The sequence below is a fragment of the Homo sapiens genome, chromosome 2, assembly GCF_000001405.40.
Source record: "Homo sapiens chromosome 2, GRCh38.p14 Primary Assembly".
Classification (NCBI taxonomy): domain Eukaryota; kingdom Metazoa; phylum Chordata; class Mammalia; order Primates; family Hominidae; genus Homo; species Homo sapiens.
Genome location: NC_000002.12, coordinates 24,278,813 through 24,299,141, shown reverse-complemented (window position 1 = coordinate 24,299,141; position 20,329 = coordinate 24,278,813). Strand labels below are relative to the sequence as shown.

At 38.5% G+C, this 20,329-nt stretch overlaps 1 protein-coding gene across 27 annotated transcripts in view; it reads left to right on the top strand.

The window, feature by feature from the left end:
- Positions 1-20,329, top strand: part of ITSN2 (intersectin 2) — a 158,505-nt gene that overhangs the window by 62,227 nt on the left and 75,949 nt on the right. For 14 of the 27 annotated variants that reach the window (XM_047444582.1, XM_024452933.2, NM_006277.3 and 11 more), the window contains 5 exons: positions 328-477; positions 3,338-3,478; positions 5,367-5,454; positions 12,791-12,930; positions 14,299-14,379. In XM_047444582.1, the coding sequence (XP_047300538.1) occupies positions 328-477; positions 3,338-3,478; positions 5,367-5,454; positions 12,791-12,930; positions 14,299-14,379 (600 nt within the window). The remainder of the gene's footprint in view (positions 1-327; positions 478-3,337; positions 3,479-5,366; positions 5,455-12,790; positions 12,931-14,298; positions 14,380-20,329) is intronic. The other 13 variants (XM_047444586.1, NM_001348182.2, NM_019595.4 and 10 more) reach the window with 1 other exon arrangement.

Here is a 20,329-nt window from a genome sequence, read left to right as displayed (position 1 = left end):
AGGAGAATCGCTTGAGCCCAGGTGGTGGAGGTTGCAGTGAGCCAAGGTGGTGCCACTGCACTCCAGCCTGGGTGACAGAGCAAGATGCTGTCTGGAAAAAAAAAAAAAAAAAAAAGATCTCGTGAAGAAATGAGAAAATATGATAGATGAAGCCACTTTCTTGGAAGTCTTTAAGCCCATTAATAAAACTAGATTTGCCTAGCTACCCTTAGGCACTAAAGCCACTAAGTGCTAAACTCTGCCTGACTTTTATTGTTGTCTTCCCAGTTTTTGAATCGTGCAAAATTTTTGATTTAAAAATTAAGTATAATTCCTTTTTTTTTTCAGGCAGCAAAACAGGAACTTGAACGACAACGTCGCTTAGAATGGGAGAGAATTCGGCGACAGGAGCTTCTCAATCAAAAGAATAGAGAACAAGAAGAAATTGTCAGGTTAAACTCTAAAAAGAAGAATCTTCATCTTGAGTTGGAAGCACTGGTATGGCTGAAGTTTAAGTGAAATTTATCTGAATGATGATGGAGCTACCTGTTGAAAAATGTAATTGTGGGCCAGGCGTGGTGGCTCACACCTGTTATCCTAGCACTTTGGGAGGCCAAGGCAGGCAGATCAACTGGGGCAGGAGTTTGAAACCAGCCTGGCCAACATGGTGAAACCCCATCTCTACTAAAAAAAAAAATTAGCCAGCTGTGGGCTGGGCATGGTGGCTCACTGTAATCCCAACGCTTTGGGAGGCTGAGGTGGGTGGATCACGAGGTCAGGAGTTCAAGACCAGCCTGGCCAATATAGTGAAACCCCATCTCTACTAAAAATACAAAAATTAGCCAGGAGTGGTGGTGTGCGCCTGTAGTCCCAGCTACTTGGGACACTGAGGCAGAAGAATTGCTTGAACCTGGGAGGCGGAGGTTGCAGTGAGCTGAGATCGCGCCACTGCACTCGAGCCTGGGCAACAGAGTGAGACTCCGTCTCAAACAAACAAACAAAAATTAGCTGGCCGTGGTGGGTGGTGGTGGGTGCCTGTAATCCTAGCTACTTGGGAGGCTGAGGCAGGAGAATCACTTGAACCCAGGAGGTGGAGGTTGCAGTGAGCCAAGATCGCACCACTGCACTCCAGCCTAGGTAACAGAGTGAGACGCCATCTCAAAAAAAAAAAAAAGAAAAATGTAATTGTGTTTTAAAATCTCTCGTGAATTAGTTATGTCTTAATGTCATTAGTCACATTTTCATATAAACAGACTGTACAATATGGTTTACTGAGAAAAGGATAATGACTCAAAATGCTGAGAATTATGTTGTAGCATCAGTTCAGACACTGATGAACCATGTACTCCTGGGCAAGACATTTCCCTTCTCTGTGCCTCACTTTTCCCTTGTCTGAAATAAAGAGTTGTGTTAGTTGAGTGATTTTCAGTTTTCAGATTGGTCTCTGTAAGATGGTCTGAGGAGGACTAAGCAGAGGCAGGAGAGGGGAAGCTCGGGCAGCAGAACAGTGATTTTCTCTCCCTAATTCTTCCCACGCTTCACAACAGAGAAGCTTGACATTTATGTGCTTTATGTTTCTTGGGGTTTCACTCAAGATTTGCTTGGAAAAAAAAAGATTCTACTATTAAAAAGACAACTGATTTGAAACTGCTGACCTAAATGATCTCTTACAGTTCCAGTTCTGCAGGATTGTAGTTCTTAGCTAATACTGGCCACTAAGCAGTTTTTACCAATCAGATGTTAGAGGGTCAAGTTGTTAAAAGACTTTGTTTGAAATGTGTGGTGAGAAGGTATAAAAGATCTGGCACTATTCTGCCACAACCCTAGAATCCCATGAGCCTACCCTGATCATATAGTAGGGTTTTACAAAAATGCATACCTAGTCATGTAGTAGAGCCAGATTTAGATCTTGTGTGATCATAGTCTAACATTTTATTTGGTTGATGACTTGAATTACATTAAAAATTATTTTTTTAATCATCACAATATCTTTAGTCAGAAATATATTATTTTATTCCTTCAAATGGATAGACATACATACCACAAGTATTAATCATGCCAGAGTACTACAAAACAGTTGTAAAAAACTTTTAACTCTCTTGCACTATTTTTATATATATATATCATCTTGACTATATATAATGGGAAGAGACCTTAAGATTGATTGTTTTTCCCTCAAGAACTGGTGCAACACATGAAGCACAGTAACACAGGTGAATGTGCAGAGTCTGGAAAGGTCCAGAGCCTATACGTATCCCATGTTGAGGATAAGAATGTGAGCTCCAGCAGAGATACACATGTTCCTTTCAGTGTATGTATTTCAAATATGAAACAGTCTTCAGTAAAACTTTTCATCATCAGTAAGTTTTAACCCAGGATGTCATTTCCCCTCACTCCACTGTATTAGTTTGGTAGGGCTGCTGTAACAAAATACGATAGGCTAGGTGGCTTAAACAACAGAAATTAATTTTTTCACAGCTCCTAAGATCTAAGACCAAGGTTAGTTAGGCTTAGTTTCTTGTGAGGCCTCTTTTGGTGGCTTGCAGGTGGCCATCTTTCATTGTGTCCTTATATGGTGTTTTCTCTGAGTGTATTTTATCTCTGGTGCCTTTTGTGTTCAGATTTCCACCTCTAATAAGGACACCAGTTAGATTGGATTAGGGTCCACCTGTATGACTTTGTTTAACCTTAATCACCTCTTTAAAGGCCCTGTCTCCAAATATTGTCACATTCTGAGGTACTGGGGCTTGGGACTTTAACATATGAATTTTGGGGGACACAGTTCAGCCCATAACCCCCCATGTCACCCTTCTTCTTAGGTCCCATTGAGAATCTCTGCTATTTGTTTGATTTCTTCACAGAAGAAGAGGAAAAAAGGAGAAGAATATTAGTATAGAACAGAACTGTTGCCAAAACGTTCCTCCTGGGCACTGTTTTAATTAGAGGAAATTAGATGGCCATATTTAGGGTAGAAATAGAAGTTCAGAGAAGGTAATGCCGAGCATCACATGCAAACATTTATTCCTCTTCATCATTCTTTGAGAGTGTCTCTGATATTAATATTGTTAATTAATATTGTCTAATGCTGAATTCAGAAAAAAATTCAATGTGTTATGTTTCTGCTTTCCCATACTAACATATGGGCTCTTGCACTCTGAGAATGATGTGTTTCCCACTAATAACTCGAGTTAACAGACACAACTCTGAAACACATTCCACTTGGTTTTAGGCATTTGTTTCAGGATGAATATGAATGATAACTGAGATTTTAAAATTTAACTAAAAATATTATTCTCCTTGTAGAAACATTTTCTATTAGCATTTTATGTTACTATATATTTATATGATCTTCCTATAGAATGGCAAACATCAGCAGATCTCAGGCAGACTTCAGGATGTCCGACTCAAAAAGCAAACTCAAAAGACTGAGCTGGAAGTTCTGGATAAGCAGTGTGACTTGGAAATTATGGAAATCAAGCAACTTCAACAGGAACTTCAGGTAAGTCCTTCACTGCTAAATTGTTCTTAAACATGTACAATTAATAGTTCTTCTGGGCTGGGCACGGTGGCTCACGGCTGTAATGCTAGCACTTTGGGAGGCTGAGGCGGGTGGATCCCCTGAGGTCAGGAGTTCGAGACCAGCCCAGTCAGCAGGGCAAAACCCCGTCTCTACTAAAAATACAAAAAAATTAGCTGGGTATGGTGGCGCATGCCTGTAATCCCAGCAACTCGGGAGGCTGAGGCAGGAGAATCGCTTGATTCCGGGAGGCAGAGGTTGCAGTGAACCCAGATCGCACCACTGTACTCCAGCATGGATGATAGAGCGAGATTCCATCTCAAAACAAAACAAAACGAAACAGTTCTTCTAATAGAGTTTTGTTTTGGGGGTCAATAACCTTGAGTCTTTGATAGGCTTGTGATCTAAATACACGCAATCCTGTATACAATATCAGGAAGTCCATAGACCTACTAAAACTCTGCTAGACGTCTGGTTAAGTTTTGCTTAATATATATACGTAAGTGGACATTTATCACTTTGAGTTTTAACTCTTTAACAATGTTTATGCATTCTTAATTCATTACTTGCTATAACAAACGACCTTAGACTGGGTAATTTATAAACAACAGAAATTTATTACTCATAGTTCTAGAGACTGAGAAGTCCAAGATCAAGGTGTTAGCAGATTCAGTGTCCGATGAGGGCTTGCTGTCTCCTTTAAAACTAGTGCCTTCTTGCTGCGTCTTCACATGCAGAAAGGGTAAGGCAGTCCCTTCAACTTCCTTTATAAGGACAGTCATCTCATTCATGAGTGTGGAGCCTCCTAAAGCCCTACTTCTTAATAGTACTGCATTGGGAGTTAGGTTCCAACATATGAATGTTGGGGACATACCAACATTCAGACCATATCATACATTAAAATAAGGTTATTGCTACTAATTTTAGGAAATTTTGACTTAAAGTTATTCTTTTTAAAATTATGATGAGAACTTGAATATGTCCCTTGGGGTCCTGGTAATTCTCTTCCTTACTTGTGCAGTAGGGTCTGGTTCAATAATTACTATTTGCAGAATGGGGCTGTGGAAGCATTCTGCATCTCTAGAGTTCTCTTACCCAATTTCTCTTACTGCATGGACTGGCAATTAATCAGTCTTTTTGCTTTGTTACAGGAGAGATAAACAAAAGCCAAAAATATTTTCTGTCTGATTTAAACCTGCTTTCCTAGTTTTTAGTCCTTTTTATTTTTTCCTCCCTCTGTCACCCAGGCTGGAGTGCAGTGGCATGACCTCAGCTCACTGCAACTTCTGCCTCCCAGGCTCAAGCAATTCTCCTGCTTCAGCCTTCTGAGTAGCTGGGATTACAGGCACCCACCACCACGCCTGGCTAATTTTTGTGTTTTTCGTGGAGACGGGGTTTCACCATGTTGACCAGGCTGGTCTTGAACTCCTGACCTCAAGTGATCCACCTGCCTTGGCCTCCCAAAGTGCTGAGATTACAGGTGTGAGCCACCGCACCCAGCTTTTAGTCCCTCTTTGATATACACATATTCATCCTGAAGTATCATGGCATGCTTACACATACCATCTAGCGCAGGTCTGCTGTCATTCATCAGTAAGCTGAAAATTGTAGGCTTCTAGACACACCCCATTTACAAAGGCTTTCTTCACTGCCTTTTAATTTCAGCCAGTCACTCAAAATTGATTTTGGCTTAAATATTTCTTGGCATAATTCCATTCTAGTTGATTCATAAGTTGTAAGCAGTTTACAACTATGTATTATTTCTAAAATAAGTTTCAAAGATGAGTAAATCCTGTTTTAAAGTTTTCAAAAAAAACTCTTGGACAATATTATAACATTGTAATCAGGTACTATTTTTTCTTTTTATAAGGAATATCAGAATAAGCTTATCTATCTGGTACCTGAGAAGCAATTATTAAATGAAAGAATTAAAAACATGCAGTTCAGTAACACACCTGGTAAGTCTCTAAGGTTTGTCTGATTACTTTTATCCTTTTCTGAATGACTGTATCAGTCACATTGTTACTTTTTTAAAATTAAAAAAAGTATTCTGTTATAAATAACACTTTTTGCCTGTAAGTTTAAAGTTTCAAAATAAAGTGAAAAATATCCCAGATGTTAGAGCATTTTTAGTGATAAAAAGTAGATAAAAATAAAATAGTAATGATTGTGGTATGACTTCATATCTTGATGATATTTTTATGTATATAATTGAAACATCAAATAAAGTGTTAGACTATAAGATATAAATTTGGCTCTAACACAAGACTACATGTGCATTTTGAAAAGTCCTGCACTGATTTTAAAGAACTGTTCAGGAGGAGGCTTTATGGTGGGGCCGCACCTGGGATTCTAGGGTGTTAGCGTGCAGCAGTCATAGGCTTAAGCAGGATGGTATGCTCTGCCCAGACCCTTTATATTATCTAACTCTGTGCTTCATACAAAGAATTTTACCATCTTGGCCCTCTGACACCTGTGGAACAAAACATTCCAGGATAATTTATGGGATAGTAACTGTTTTTGTTTTTGCTCAGGTCCCAATGAGAAAACTGAAAAAAATTCTCTGTATTGGATACTATACCAATAAAAGCATAGCAGAAACAAGGTTTATTTAAAGAAAAGTAAATCTGCAGATGTTGTGTTACAACTGACTAAAGTATCCTAAAATGTCACTCATTGAGTCTCTATCAAGTCAATTATTCCATTGTAGGTCTCTTTATTATAGTTTTGGCTGTTTACAAAGTTCAATAAATAGTATCCCCTTCTTTGCGCAAGTTCTGAACAAATTAAGAAATAAGGCAAAGGAGCAAGACAAATGAGAAACCAAATCACTGCCTCATTATTGATGAAGCTGATTCTAGGCAGTGTGGTTTATCTGTGGGTGGTATAGTTGCACCTATAAAGCACTGGATGCATGAACAAAGTAGAATGCAGGTTTCCTGTGGGCAGTTAAGTCTCTAGAGAGTGAGGGCTTAGGAGGAGCCTAGGCTGTACATTCCTAGGTCTTTAACTTGAGCTCACTAGTTAGTGAAAGGAAGGAAAGAAGCTGGGATTGTTGGGCTAGTGCAGGGCCCTTCACGTGGAAGAAATATCAGAAATGAAGTTCACTCTTGTGAACTATTTTTATTGTGTCTCCTGCCTTCCATTGATGTGGTCTATCCATGTCCCTGCTCAGACAGTGTTCCTTATACTTGGTTCTTTCCTGTTCAAAGTATATTAGCCCCCACCTCACCCCTACACAGGCATTCCAGAGTCAGGGTGAGCTAACCCACCTGATATGCACAGTGGCAGAAATATATCTTTATTATTGTCATCATTGTTGTCATTGTTCCTATTTGAATTGTGAATAAAATGTAGAATATGTCTTATTGAGGACGTGATGGGGCTATTCTTTCTCTGTGGAATGTAATTCAGTGCAGCTGTTACCTATTTATTTATTTAGCCATAGTCCAATTCAAAATAGGAAGCTTTTGTTTGGGCTTTGAAAAGTACCCTGTATCCCTTAGATGCCTCTCTGTATAACAATTGCCATTTAAGATTACCAGCCATGTGCCAAGCACTGTGTGAGTCAGTTTTGATGCATTCTTTCCTTTAATCTTTACAATAACCCTTTGGTATAGTTATTATTCCCATTGTGAGCTCAGGAAAACTGAGGTTCAGAGAGATTAAGTAGTTACCCAGGATGGTACAATCATAGTACTCAAATTCATGTCTAACTGTAAAGCCCACTGTACTACCATGTTGTTTCTTTGTCTTATTTTCCAGTTACCCAACATAGTGCTCATATATGTCATCAAATTTGGTATTAAAACATGCATTATTAGTAATATACATTGTTATGAATAAAGCAGAAATATGGGCCGGGTGCAGTGGCTCATGCCTGCAATCCTAGCACTTTGGGAGGCCAAGGCAGGCGGATCACGAGGTCAAGAGATCGAGATCATCCTGGCCAACATGGTGATACGCCATCTCTACTAAAAATACAAAAATTAGCTGGGCATGGTGGCGCACGCCTGTAGTCCCAGCTACTCAGGAGGCTGAGGCAGGAGAATCACTTGAACCTGGGAGGCAGAGGCTGCAGTGAGCTGAGATCGCACCGCTGCCCTCCAGCCTGGTGACAGAGCGAGACTCCGTCTCAAAAAAAAAAAAAAAAAAAGGAAGAAGAAGAAATATGCAGCTATAACACTTCGCTAATAGACGTGAAAGATTCCTGAATAGGCTGGACACTGTGGCTCATGCCTGTAATCCCAGCACTTTAGGGTGCTGAGGTGGGCAGATCACTTGAAGCCAGGAGTTTGAGACCAGCCTGGCCAATGCGGTGAAACCCCATCACTGCTAAAAATACAAAAATCAGTAGGGGTAGTGGCACGCATCTGTGGTCTCAGCTACTCGGAAGGTTGAAGCATGAGAATTGCTTGAACGTGGGAGGCAGAGGTTGCAGTGGGCCGAGATGGTGCCACTGCACTCCAGCCTGGGTAATAGAGTGAGACTCTGTCTCAAAACAAAATAAAAAAAAAAGATTCCTGAATAATTAGAGACATTTTATGTTCCTAAATGAACTAGCTTAATATTATACTATACTATACATCAATACTATGTCAGTTCTCTCCTAATTTATATATTCAGTTCTTTTTGGGTTTCTTAAAATGAAACTTGGGAAGATAACTGACAAATTCATCTAGAAAATAAATTGTACAAGATTAGGCAAAACTTGAAAAAGAAAAACTTTGGTAGGGGGGAGGAGACTAACCCTATCAGATATCGAAACATAAGATATGAAAGTTAGAGTGCCTAAAATAGTGTGTTATTGATCAGAAATAGAAAAGTAGAACAATGGAATTGAATAGAGTCTAGAAGAAAGCCCATGCATGTATGGCAACGTAGGATAAGATAAAGTTGGCACTTAACATCAGTGGGGAAAGGATGGGCTTTCAGTAAGTGATTTGAGGGACAGTGGATTATCTGAAAGAGTTGCAGAGGAGCTCTTTACCGCTCTCTATGTACAGAAATAAATTCTAGATAAATTAGGAGGCTAAACATAAAAACAACTTAAAAACTATTATAAAACAGGAAAATATTTTATAATCTTGGTATGAGGAAGGTCTCTTTAAACAATACATAGAGTCATGAAGAAAATACTTACAGATTTGATGATTAAAAATGAAAACATCATAATGAAAGACAGCATAAACACTAAAAAATTTGAAGTACATGTAATACAAGAATTTAGAGCTTCTACAAATCAAAAATTAAGACAGCCCAATAGAAAAATACGGCAAAGGATAAGACCTAACAATTCAAGACTCTGGCCAGAAACATAAATAGATGTTTCTTTGACATCACTGGTTATCAAGAAAATACAAATTAAAATAACAATCAGGTTTCTTTTTTGCCAATTAGCAAAAATGAAAAAAGATTGATAATATCCAATATAGATGAGGGTTTGCAGAAACAGGTATTGTTGGTGGCATAAGTTGATAACAGCTTTTTTGGAATAGTAGTTTGGCAATTTCTGTCAGAATTTAAAGTGTGCATTAACAGAATGAAAGACAAAAATCTACGAGCCACGTGATCATCTCCATAAATAACAGAACGAGTATTTGACAAGGTTTAACATCTTTTCATGATAAAAACTCTCAAAAAAAATAGATATAGAAGGAATTTTCTTCAACATAATAAAGGCCATTTATGAAAAGCTCACAGCTATCATAATCAATGGGGGTAAACTGAAGACTTTTCATCTAAGATCGGGGTGTCTAATCTTATGGCTTCCCTGGGTCACATTGGAAGAAGAGTTGTCTTGGGCCACACATAAAATCCACTAACACTGATGATAGCTGATGAGTGCTAAAAAAAATCTCATAATGTTTTAAGAAAGTTTATGAATTTGTGTTGGGCCACATTGAAAGCCATCCTGGGCCGCATGTGGCCCATGGCCTGCAGGTTGGATAAGCTTGATCTAAGATCTGGTATGAGGTAGGGATACGCACTTTTTACCACTTCTGTTCAACGTAATGCTGGAAGTACTAGCAGGACTACTCAGACAAGAAAAAGGAATAAAATACATTCAAATTGTAAAAGTAGTAGTAAAATTATCCCTGTCTGCAGATGACATGATCCTATATGTTGAAAACCCTAAAGACTGCAATAAAACTTAGAACTAATACATGAATTGAGTAAAGTTGTAGGACACAAAATCAGCATACAAAAATCAGTTGCATTTTTTACACCAATAACTATTCAAAAAAGAGATCAAGTAAACAATATTATTCATGACAGCATCAAAAATAATTAAATACTTAGGAATAAATTTGACCAAGGAGGGGAAAGATCTGTAACTGAAAACTAATTGATGGGAGAAATTGAAAAAGACATAAATAAATGGAAAGATACTCCATGTTCATGTATTGGAAGAATTAATATTTTAAAAATTATCTGTACTACCCAAAGCAATATACAGATTCAACACAATATCAGAATTCAAATAGCATTTTCACAGAAATAGAAAAAGCAATTTTAAAACGTATATGGAATCACAGAAGACTTCAAATAGCCAAAGCAATCTTGAGAAAGAAAAACAAAGTTGGAAGCATCACACTGCCTGTTTGCAAATATTATGAAGCTATAGTAATCAGAACAGTGTGGTACTGGCATAAAAACAGACATAGGGACAACATGAACCTGCAAGATGTTACATTAAGTGAAGTAAGCCAAGCGCAGAAAGACAAATACGGTATGATTTCATTTATTTGTGGAGTGTATATATTTATCCATAAAAGTAGAGAATAAAATGGTGGCTACCAGGGCTGGTGAGAGAAAAGGGGATCACTGAGAGTTTGCTCAAAGGAAATCAACATTTCAGTTAGATAGGAGGAATAAGTTCAAGAAATCTATTGTACAACCTGGTGACTATAGTTAATAATAGTGCATTGTATTCTTTAAAGTTGCTAAGAGAATAGATTTTAAGTGTTTTCACCACAAAAATGGTAAGTATGTGAGGTAAGTATGTGAGGTTAATTAGCTGAATTTAGCCATTTTACAATGTATACATATTTCAAAACAACATGCGTACTATAAATACAAGTTTTTATTTGTTGATTACAAAAGACATAGATTTACAGAATAGAGAGCCTAGCTAATTAACATACACATTATGTTAATTAGCTAAATTATGCATATGTTAATTAGCTCCTTAGCCAATTTACAATGTATACATATTTTAAAACAACATGCATACAATATATATACAATTTTTTGTCAATTACAAGACATACAGACTTATGAAATAGAATAGAGAGCCCAAAAATAAACCCAAGTGTATATGGTCAACTAATTTTTGACAAGGGTATCAAGAAGACACAATGGGAAAAGGTAGCCTCTTCGATAAATGGTATTGGGAAAACTGGATATCCACCTGCAAAAGAATGAAATTGGAGCCTTATACCATACTCAAAAATCAGCTCAAAATGGATTAAACATAAGACATGAAACCGTAAAACTCCTAGAAGAAAACATTGACAAAAGCTCTTTGACATTGGCCTTGGCAGTGATTTTTTGGATATTACACCAAAAGCTCAGGAAACAAAAATAAACAAGTGGGACTTCATCAAACTAAAAAGTTTCTGCACAGTAAAGGAAACAATCAAGATGAAAAGGCAGTCTGTGGAATGGGAGAAAATACTTGTGAGCCATGTATCTGATAAGTGGTTTATATCCAAAATACAAGGAATATATATAACTCAATACCAAAAAACAACCCAATTTCAAAATGGGCAAAGGACCTGAGTGGACATTTCTCCAAAGAAGACCTAAAAATGGTAAAGAGATATTTAAAAAGGGACTCAACATTATTAATCATCAGGGAAATGCAAATCTAAACCACATTGAAATATAATATCACCTCACACCTGGTAGGATGGCTGTTATCAAAAAGATCAGAGATAACGAGTGGTAGTGAGCATGTGGGAACAAGGGAACCCATGTACACTGTTGGAGGAATGTAAATTGGTATAGTTGTTAAGGAAAACAGTATGAAGGTTTCTAAAAAAAATAAGATAGAACTCTTGTATGATCCAGCAATCTCACTTCTGAATATATATTCAAAGGAAACAAAATTACTGTCTCAAAGAGATATTTGCGCTCCCTTATGCTAAATGCAGTAAGTCAGTTACAGAAAGACAAATACTGCATGACCTCAGTTTCATATAAAATCTAAAAAAGTTGAACTCCTGTACAGAAACTGAGAGTAGAAGAGTGGTTACCAGGGGTTAGAGGGAGGGGAAAATGGGTAGATGTTGATCAGTGGGTTCAGACCAACATCTACCCATACCAGTCAGAAAGGTAGTTATATAAATTATGCAGTAGCCATAATGTAAACTACTATGGAGCAATTTAAAAGAATGAACTAGATCTGTTTGTCCTGATTGATAAGATATCTTACTAAATTGAAAACAAGTTGCATAGCAATGTAGACAATATGATTCTGTTAAAACCCATGGAAATAAAAGTTGAGTATGTACACATCTAAATGTAAATGCCTAAAAGGGGGATGAACTTGCAGTTGAAATGGAGGTGTTTTAATTTTTTACTCTGTATGTTTCATTTTATTTAAATTTTGTACTTCTGTACTTCAAAAATATGATAAAGTTAAAAACAGACATTTAAACAGATAATATTGCTATTTTAATTTATTGTAATGTATTCTGCATTATATATTTCCATCTGGTTTCTTCATCCCTGCATGAATATGTAAAAAAAGATAATATAAAATGAAACCTTCTGTTCTTACCTCCTAAAATAATGTTACTAAATAATCCAGTTAGTAATACTTACTGAATCTTTGCTGTGAATATTTCCCTGTTCTTGGGAGCACTAAGAATAAATGGAAAGCTACTTTAACTATAGTTTCTATTAATTGAGTATTAACTGTGGACCAGAGTGTACAATGGCTTTATATCCATCACCTCATTTAATGTAGCATGATGCTCATTGTATAGATGAAAAGCCTGAGGATTCGATTGGTGAAGCATCTTTCCTAAAGTAGAATTTCACTTCAGGTCCTAGTCCTTTTGAATGCAGAACCAAGGCTTACAACCATTTCCTCTGATGCTCTTTCCAGCATATAATCTGGGAAGTGGAAATAACAACTGAATGTTTTCTCTTGTACTGGTCTGCATTGTGTATACATCCTTCGTATTGGTCTAGTTACATCAATCTGACCAAACAGTAAATGACATGCTGGTAATGACATACGAACTTCTGCAAAATGTAAACTGTCTGATGTTTGTTTTTCAGATTCAGGGGTCAGTTTACTTCATAAAAAATCATTAGAAAAGGAAGAATTATGCCAAAGACTTAAAGAACAGTTAGATGCTCTTGAAAAAGAAACTGCATCTAAGCTGTCAGAAATGGATTCTTTTAACAATCAACTAAAGGTATTTATTTTTGATACTATTTATTTTTAGGTAACTGCCTTCTTACCTTCATTATTTTGATTTAATAGAATAAATAGCTAAAGCTATTATATGTATTACATTTTCATAATTTATTTTATAATTTCAACTATACAAGAATTTCAAGATTGTTTTTAATGTTCTAGTTATATGACATAGTGTCATATAACTAAACATATACTTTATCACAGTTTCCAATTTTTGATGACTATGTGCTGTTTGTCTTGGCATCTATACATTTCCAGAACAATTGCCTTTGTCAGTATTACAGAACTGATCTCAGCCAGCGTTATCCTAGGCAATTTTCAAAAATGAGAAATATGGAAAATTTGAAATAGTTTAGGTGTTAGTGGCTCTTTTAACACAGTTTTTATTTTGTTTCCTTGTGAAGTGTAATTTAATTAACCTTTGTTAAATAATGCAATAATCAGTGAAATCTAGAACAGAATCTGGCACTATAAACTTTGCACAAAAAGCAAGTTAATGATTCATTGTTTGCCGCAGTGGCAGAGCAGATGTCCAAAACATAGACTGTCTGCATATCATTCACCACAGTATTCATTGTACACTGAAGCCATACCTATGAAAGAAACTAAAAACCCAGGCTCATGGCATAGAATGTAAATTTGGGAATAGTCTCAGTTATTCCTTTGCTAACAATATAAAGTTTCCAGAGCATAAGCTATTCTCTGTAAGAAATAAAGCTTTTCATAAAGCTTTTGTATAAGAAATCTCTCTCTTCATATGGCTTTTATCATGCTGACTTATTTAGAATAACATTAACAGCAAATATAGAGTAAACAGCATGCTAAAGAAAGGACAACATGGTGGCTTCAGGTAAGGAAAGGGAATTTGAGGTGAACAATGTTAATAATACACTTTACACAAGCATATGTTCAGTAGAAAAAAATTTTATAGAAAACCAAATCATTTGTCATTGCTGGTTAGACAAGCCAGCCAACTTATCTTCCCTATATTATTTCTTTAAAAAATCTACATAACTGGGCATGGTGGCTCATGCCTGTAATCCCAGCACTTTGAGAGGCTGAGGCGGGCGGATCACGAGGTCAAGAGATCGAGACCAGCCTGGGCAACATGGTGAAACCCCATCTCTACTAAAAATACAAAAATTAGCTGGGCGTAGTGGCATGCGCCTGTAGTCCCAGCTACTCGGGAGGCTGAGGCAGGAGAATCGCTTGAACCCGGGAGGTGGAGGTTGCAGTGAGCTGAGATTGCGCCACTGCAGTCCAGCCTGGCGACAGAGTGAGACTCCATCTCAAAAAAAAAAAAAAAAAAAAAAAAAAATTCTGTACGTAGTTTAATTGGCTTTTTATCTGCCTTATCTTACAGTGTGGGAATATGGATGACTCTGTTCTTCAGTGCCTTTTGTCTCTGCTAAGCTGTCTCAACAACCTCTTCCTCTTACTTAAGGTTATTTTCTAATATCTAGCTTCTTTTCTTTGAGTTACTTTGCTGTTTTATTTTTTTAAAACTAGACTATTCTTTGCCTTTATCTGAGTATCTTTGTTTGAAATAACATATACAATATAAGCCTTTTTCTTTCTGCTTGCTTGAATATCCTTCTGCTATCTGACTGCCTGTTTGAGTCTAATGCCAGAAGTCAGTAAGGTTGCCTGTCACAGTAACCTTTCTCAAAAGAAGTCCAGGACACTTAGAAATATAACCTGGTTCCTTTACAACATCCCTGGGAGTGGGTTAACTGATAAAGATGATTACTAACTCAATTCAAAGGAAAATGTGAGATTAAATCACTTACCCATATCACTGAAAATCAGTGTTTAAAATAAAACTTAATACTTTATGAAATCTAGGGCAAGTTTATGTCATATATGCACCAAGCTGCTTCCTAATACTGTTGTAAGGACAATTTTAAAGAACCAATAATGCAGGGGCAACTTTAGTCAGGTCTAGTTACCAGGCTCATATTTAGACATGCTTGCACATCAGATAAAAATGTTTAAATTATATAAATATTTCTCTTTGCCATGTATAACGTAGATTATTAAAAATATTTTAATAGAGCTTAAAGAAATGTGCTTTATGTTTACTGCTTGCTGACTCTAGTAGATTTTGACTACACATTTTACTCAGTACTAAAATGGATAGCAATAGGGCAGTTGCCTATATGCATATATATTCCACAGTGAAGACAGAAACATGATAAGTAGAGTTCATTTGTTACCTGAGCGAAGTAGGGCAAATTGGAAAGATGGTAGCAGCAGGGGACCCATATTTTAGCCTTTATGGTTATGGCATGAATGGCCAGATTATATGGTTTTTAGAACTTTTGCTACGGATTGCATAGAAACTAAACTAAGTTTCCTCATCTGTAAAGTGAAGTTTAATGATGATTTGTGGACTGTTCTCCCTCACAGAGTCTGATTCTTTGAGTTAGCATTTGATTCTCCACAGGCCAGCAGTTATTCTTGTCCCTTGTTTTACTTTGTTCCTTCTGCTTCCTGCCTTCCAGACTTACACTGCTTATTGATACTTTCATCAGAGCAATTTAGGAAACTAAAGAGATATGAAATCTATACTGTCAGAGCAGTCAGGAGACTGTGTTGTCACAGAAAGCAAGAAAAGAGGTCTTCTGTAGTTACTAGAAAATGATACAGAGTTATTAGTTAACATAGTGCTAAAAAATATTGGCCAGGCGCAGTGGCTCACGCCTGTAATCCCAACACTTTGGGAGGCCGAGGCGGGCGGATCACCTGAGGTCAGGAGTTTGAGACCAGCGTGGCCAACATGGTGAAACCCCGTCTCTACTAAAAATACAAAAAATTATCTAGGCATAGTGGCGGATGCCTGTAATCCCAGCTACTCAGGAAGCTGAGACGGGAGAATCGCTTGAACCCGGGAGGCGGAGGTTGCAGTGAGCCGAGGTCGCACCATTGCACTCCAGCCTGGTCAACAAGAGCAAAACTCTGTCTCAAAAAAAAAAAGAAAAAGAAAAATATCCATTGAATTTGTCAAAAAGAAAACTTTTGAAGACCTTGCTAAAAGTGCCATTTCACTTGAGTGATAAGCAGAAGCTGGATTGCAGTGGATCAGGAATGAGTAAGAGTTGAGGAAGGGTTAAGTGAGTAGCAACAACTCTTAGAATGAAAAGAAAAAAGCATGGGGGTCAAAGGAAAATCTTTTTTTTTTTTTTTTTTGGTTTAAGAAAGACTTGAAGGAAATAGTAAAGAGAAAAGAAAGGAGGAGGCAGGGGGAAAGAGAGAAAGATTGAGATTGTGGTAATTGATGGAGCAAAGTCCCTGAAGAAGCAGATTAAGATGGAATGGAGAGCACAGATTAAAGGATTAGATAAAAAGAATACTTTCAGTGTAACATACGGGGAGAAGATGGTTATGAATGCAGTTAAATTTGTTGGTAGAGAGTAGGAAGTTGACAGTAAAACGGGAAAGGTTCCCTTGTCCCCCTTGAAGGGCAGGTGATGGGGATGTGGCTCACTTCTTCAGTGCTCCCCTGCTCAAACCTCTAGGGGAGCATACAGATGGGCAGGCTGTGGGGCTCTGACCCCACGGCAGTGTCTAGGGGTGAATGTTTACAGCTGAAGCCCCAGTGGGGGTGTGTTACAGAGTGCTCTTTTAGTTTGCCGTCTATAGGCGGTTCGTGTTACCCAGCTCAGTTAGACCCCCTTCCTTATCACAAGGACAGAACAGAGGGATTTCTGTATCCCAGGGTTTCTTGCCTTGGTGTACTGGAAGAATTGGATCACACGTGGGCTTGGAGAATGAATGCAAGGTTTTATTGAGTAGAAGTAGCTCTCAGCAGATGGGGGAGCCAGAAGGGAGACGGTTTTACCCTGGAGTCGGGCCGCAACCTGATTTCTCACTGCTCTGGCCAAACTCCGCATTGTTCCTCTGGTCAGTGGCCTGCTGGCCTGCTGGTGCCTGTTGACATGCTCTTCCACCGGCGTGCTCTTGATGACCAGCTGCTTGTGTCGTCTTCTGCCGATGTGGTCCTCATGACGTCCAGCCACTTATGCCTCTGCCTTTTTAGGATCTCGGGTTTTTGTAGGCACAGGATGGTGGCGTGGCAGGCCAGGGTGGTCTTGGAAGATGCAACATTTGGGTGCAAAGGCAGGAGTGCCTGTCCTCACCTAGGTTCATGGGCATAGGCCCGAGGCTGAAGCCCTAGCCAGGGACCCGCCTTTCTCTACCCAGTACTTCCCTGGCCCACTCCCATATCGACAGCTTCAAGACTTAAAATCAGAGGTAAGTTGGACCATCAGAAAGAATCTTCCTGGGTAGAGGAGGACATGATATAACTCAGCCTAGGCCAGAAGAAGAGGGGTGGAGATGCAGAAAGTGCTATTGGTTTTTTGAGATGGAAAGTTGAGAGGGCTGCAGTCTGATGGCCTAATGAGGCAAGGTTTATAGCTGGTAGTGAGGAGAATGGATGGAAGATTAGGAAGTTTCAGGAGAGAAATAGGCATGAAATAGACATCTCAGTGCAGATATGCAAGCTTAGTAGAGGAAAACCTAAGTGTGCTGAGCAATGTTGAATGTCTTTTTGAAGTTGGAGGTGATGTATTTAAATTGAAAACAGTATGCCTAATTGTGTGATTTTGCCTCACCAATGTTCAGCTGTTTAGGTATAAGCACAGAGAAAGCTGATGAAATAGGTTCATGGTTCATACAGGTTTGAGGTTTTAATAGACATGCACAAAGAGAGAGGGACAGAAGAGTTACAGATCTTGACAAAAGCACTATGATCAAGATGAGCTCTGAAACATGAACTAGACATGAAGGATGTGAAGAGAGGAAGGGGTGTTAATAAAGAAAGAGAATGATGGGAGTCAACAGAATGGTCTCAGTGAGGTTGAAAACCTATTGATGGCTGGGCGTGGTGTCTCACGCCTATAATCCCTGCACTTTGGGAGGCTGAGGCGGGTTGATCACCTGAGGTCAGTAGTTTGAGACCAGCCTGGCCAACATGATGAAACCCCGTCTCTACTAAAAATACAAAAAATTAGCTGGGTGTGGTGGCACGCGCCTTTAATCCCAGCTACTCGGGAGGCTGAGGCAGGAGAATTGCTTGAATCTGGGAGGTGGAGGTTGCAGTGAGGCAAGGTTACACCACTGCACTCCAACCAGGGCAACAAGAGCAAAACTCTGTCTCAGAAAAAACAAACAAACAAACCCTATTGATATAGATGTACCAGGTATAAGAAAAGTTCGAAGGGTAAGAACTTACGTTTGAAGAATGGGATATTTGGTCAATGGTAGTTCTGTTTCTGATTAGTAAGACTCAGGGTGTAATAATGGGAGTGATGGATTAAGTAGAGTTAAAAAGGTCATTGATGAAGAGATCAGCCTGAGACTTGAGGTTTGGATTGCATCATTTATGTGGATGTCAAAGACTTAGAGAATAGTGAGGTGAGTGAATGACCAGGTGACTAATAGATAACAATAAAAAGGAAGGAGAGAATGGTATTGCTGGATGGTAGGAGCCCCAGAAAAGCATGGAGTTGCTAAGAGTGAGGGGGAAATAACCATCTGAAAGTGGCAGTGAAGAGCAAGGAAAATACTGTAGTTATCCTCTGACCCTGATGTAAATGGAGTATATGATAATAAACTGAGAGAGGACTAGCAGAAAAGTAGTATCCGGAGGGATCAGCCAAGAAAGTGACGAGGGAAGAGAATTTTCGTTCAGAGAAGATTGGTAGCTGTATGATAGTTTCCTGATCACATAGAGGAAGTTCCAGGAGAGTGGAGAGGTTTGAGGAGAGAATGAGTAGGGGATTGGGTCAGATTAAGGGATAAACAGCACTGTAGAGATAAGAATTCAGGTGATAAGGAATGAGAAGAAAGGCTGTGTCTTATCAGTAGGTGAGATGGAACTGGTCCTGGTAGTGTTGGAGCAGGACAGGCACTTAGTTCTGATGCTGTGGTCCTTTGTGATAGTAGAGCACCGGGGTTAACCACCACTCCTTTAGGCTACTTGTAGTGACAACAGAAGTAAAATATTTCAATTATTTAATTTAGAATGTTATGTTTTACTGGAACCTGCAATATGCATGTACAGAATTAATGATTTTTACTCTTTTGGTCAAGTTATACTAAGACAAAGCCAGTGGATTCAAAAGTGAGACATTTGACAGGCCATTATACCATTAAGAAAATTCACACATCTGGCCAGGTACTGTGGCTCACGCCTGTAATCCCAGCACTTTGGGAGGCTGAGGCGGGTGGATCATGAGATCAGGAGTTCGAGACCAGCCTGGCCAACATAGTGAAACCTCATCTCTACTAAAAATACAAAAAATTAGCCGGGCATGGTGGCAGACGCCTATAGTCCCAGCTACTTGGGAGGCTGAGGCAGGTGAATCACCTGAACCCGGGAGGCGGAGGTTGTAGTGAGGTGAGATTGGGCCACTGCACTCCAGCCTGAGCAACAGAGCGAGACTCCGTCTCAAAAAAAAAAAAAAAAAAAAAAAAGAAAATTCACACATCTTTAGCAGTGAAGTGCAACGAAAACTCCTGGCCTAGGAATCTAAAAAAGTGAACTCTAGTCTTATCCATGCCACTTGCCAGTTGTGTAACGATCTGTCATTTACCCTCCAAATTTGCTTTCTTCCTTTACAAAACATGCTGACATTATCTGCCTGTCTTCTTTGCAAAGTCTTGTGATTAAATGAGATCGCATATAGATGGAAATGCTTTGTAAACTCTTATATACGAATATACAAATATTTTTGTTATTTGTGAAAAAACAAAATTACTTTCCCTCACTCTTCTTAAGAAAGGGGTTGTCAGAATCTCCAAAATATCTTTAGTATTTTGGAAAGTCAACCAGTGTTGACTTGAGATAATGATTGGGGAAATGCTTGTCCATAGAGGGAAAGTAGAATCTGTTAATGGTAGAATTGTGGTTTCCTTCAAGGAGTTAGGTCTTAACCCTATGCTTCCAAGGATCTGGAGTAATCTACGTTAGTAATACCCCTGCAGGTGGCATAACCTGCCATGACCAAGTTGGATTTACCTCAGCCATACAAAGATGATTTAACATACAGAAAAGTTTAATGTAATTTACTATATAAACAGACTAAAGGAGAAAAAGATTATGCTCATCTCATTAGATACAGGAAAGGTTTTTGATAAAATTTAATATCCATTTATGATTTTAAAAGTAAAACTTATTAGCAAACTAGTAATAGAAGTTCCTTAACGTAAAAGAGATAATCTATCATTCTGTTAAGATTGAGAACAACTTGGCTGGGTGCAGTGGCTCACACCTGCAATCCCAGCCCTTTGGGAGGCCGAGGCAGGTGGATTGCCTGAGCTCAACAATTCACGACCAGCCTGGCCAACATGGTAAAACCCCGTCTCTACTAAAAATGCAAAAATTAGCC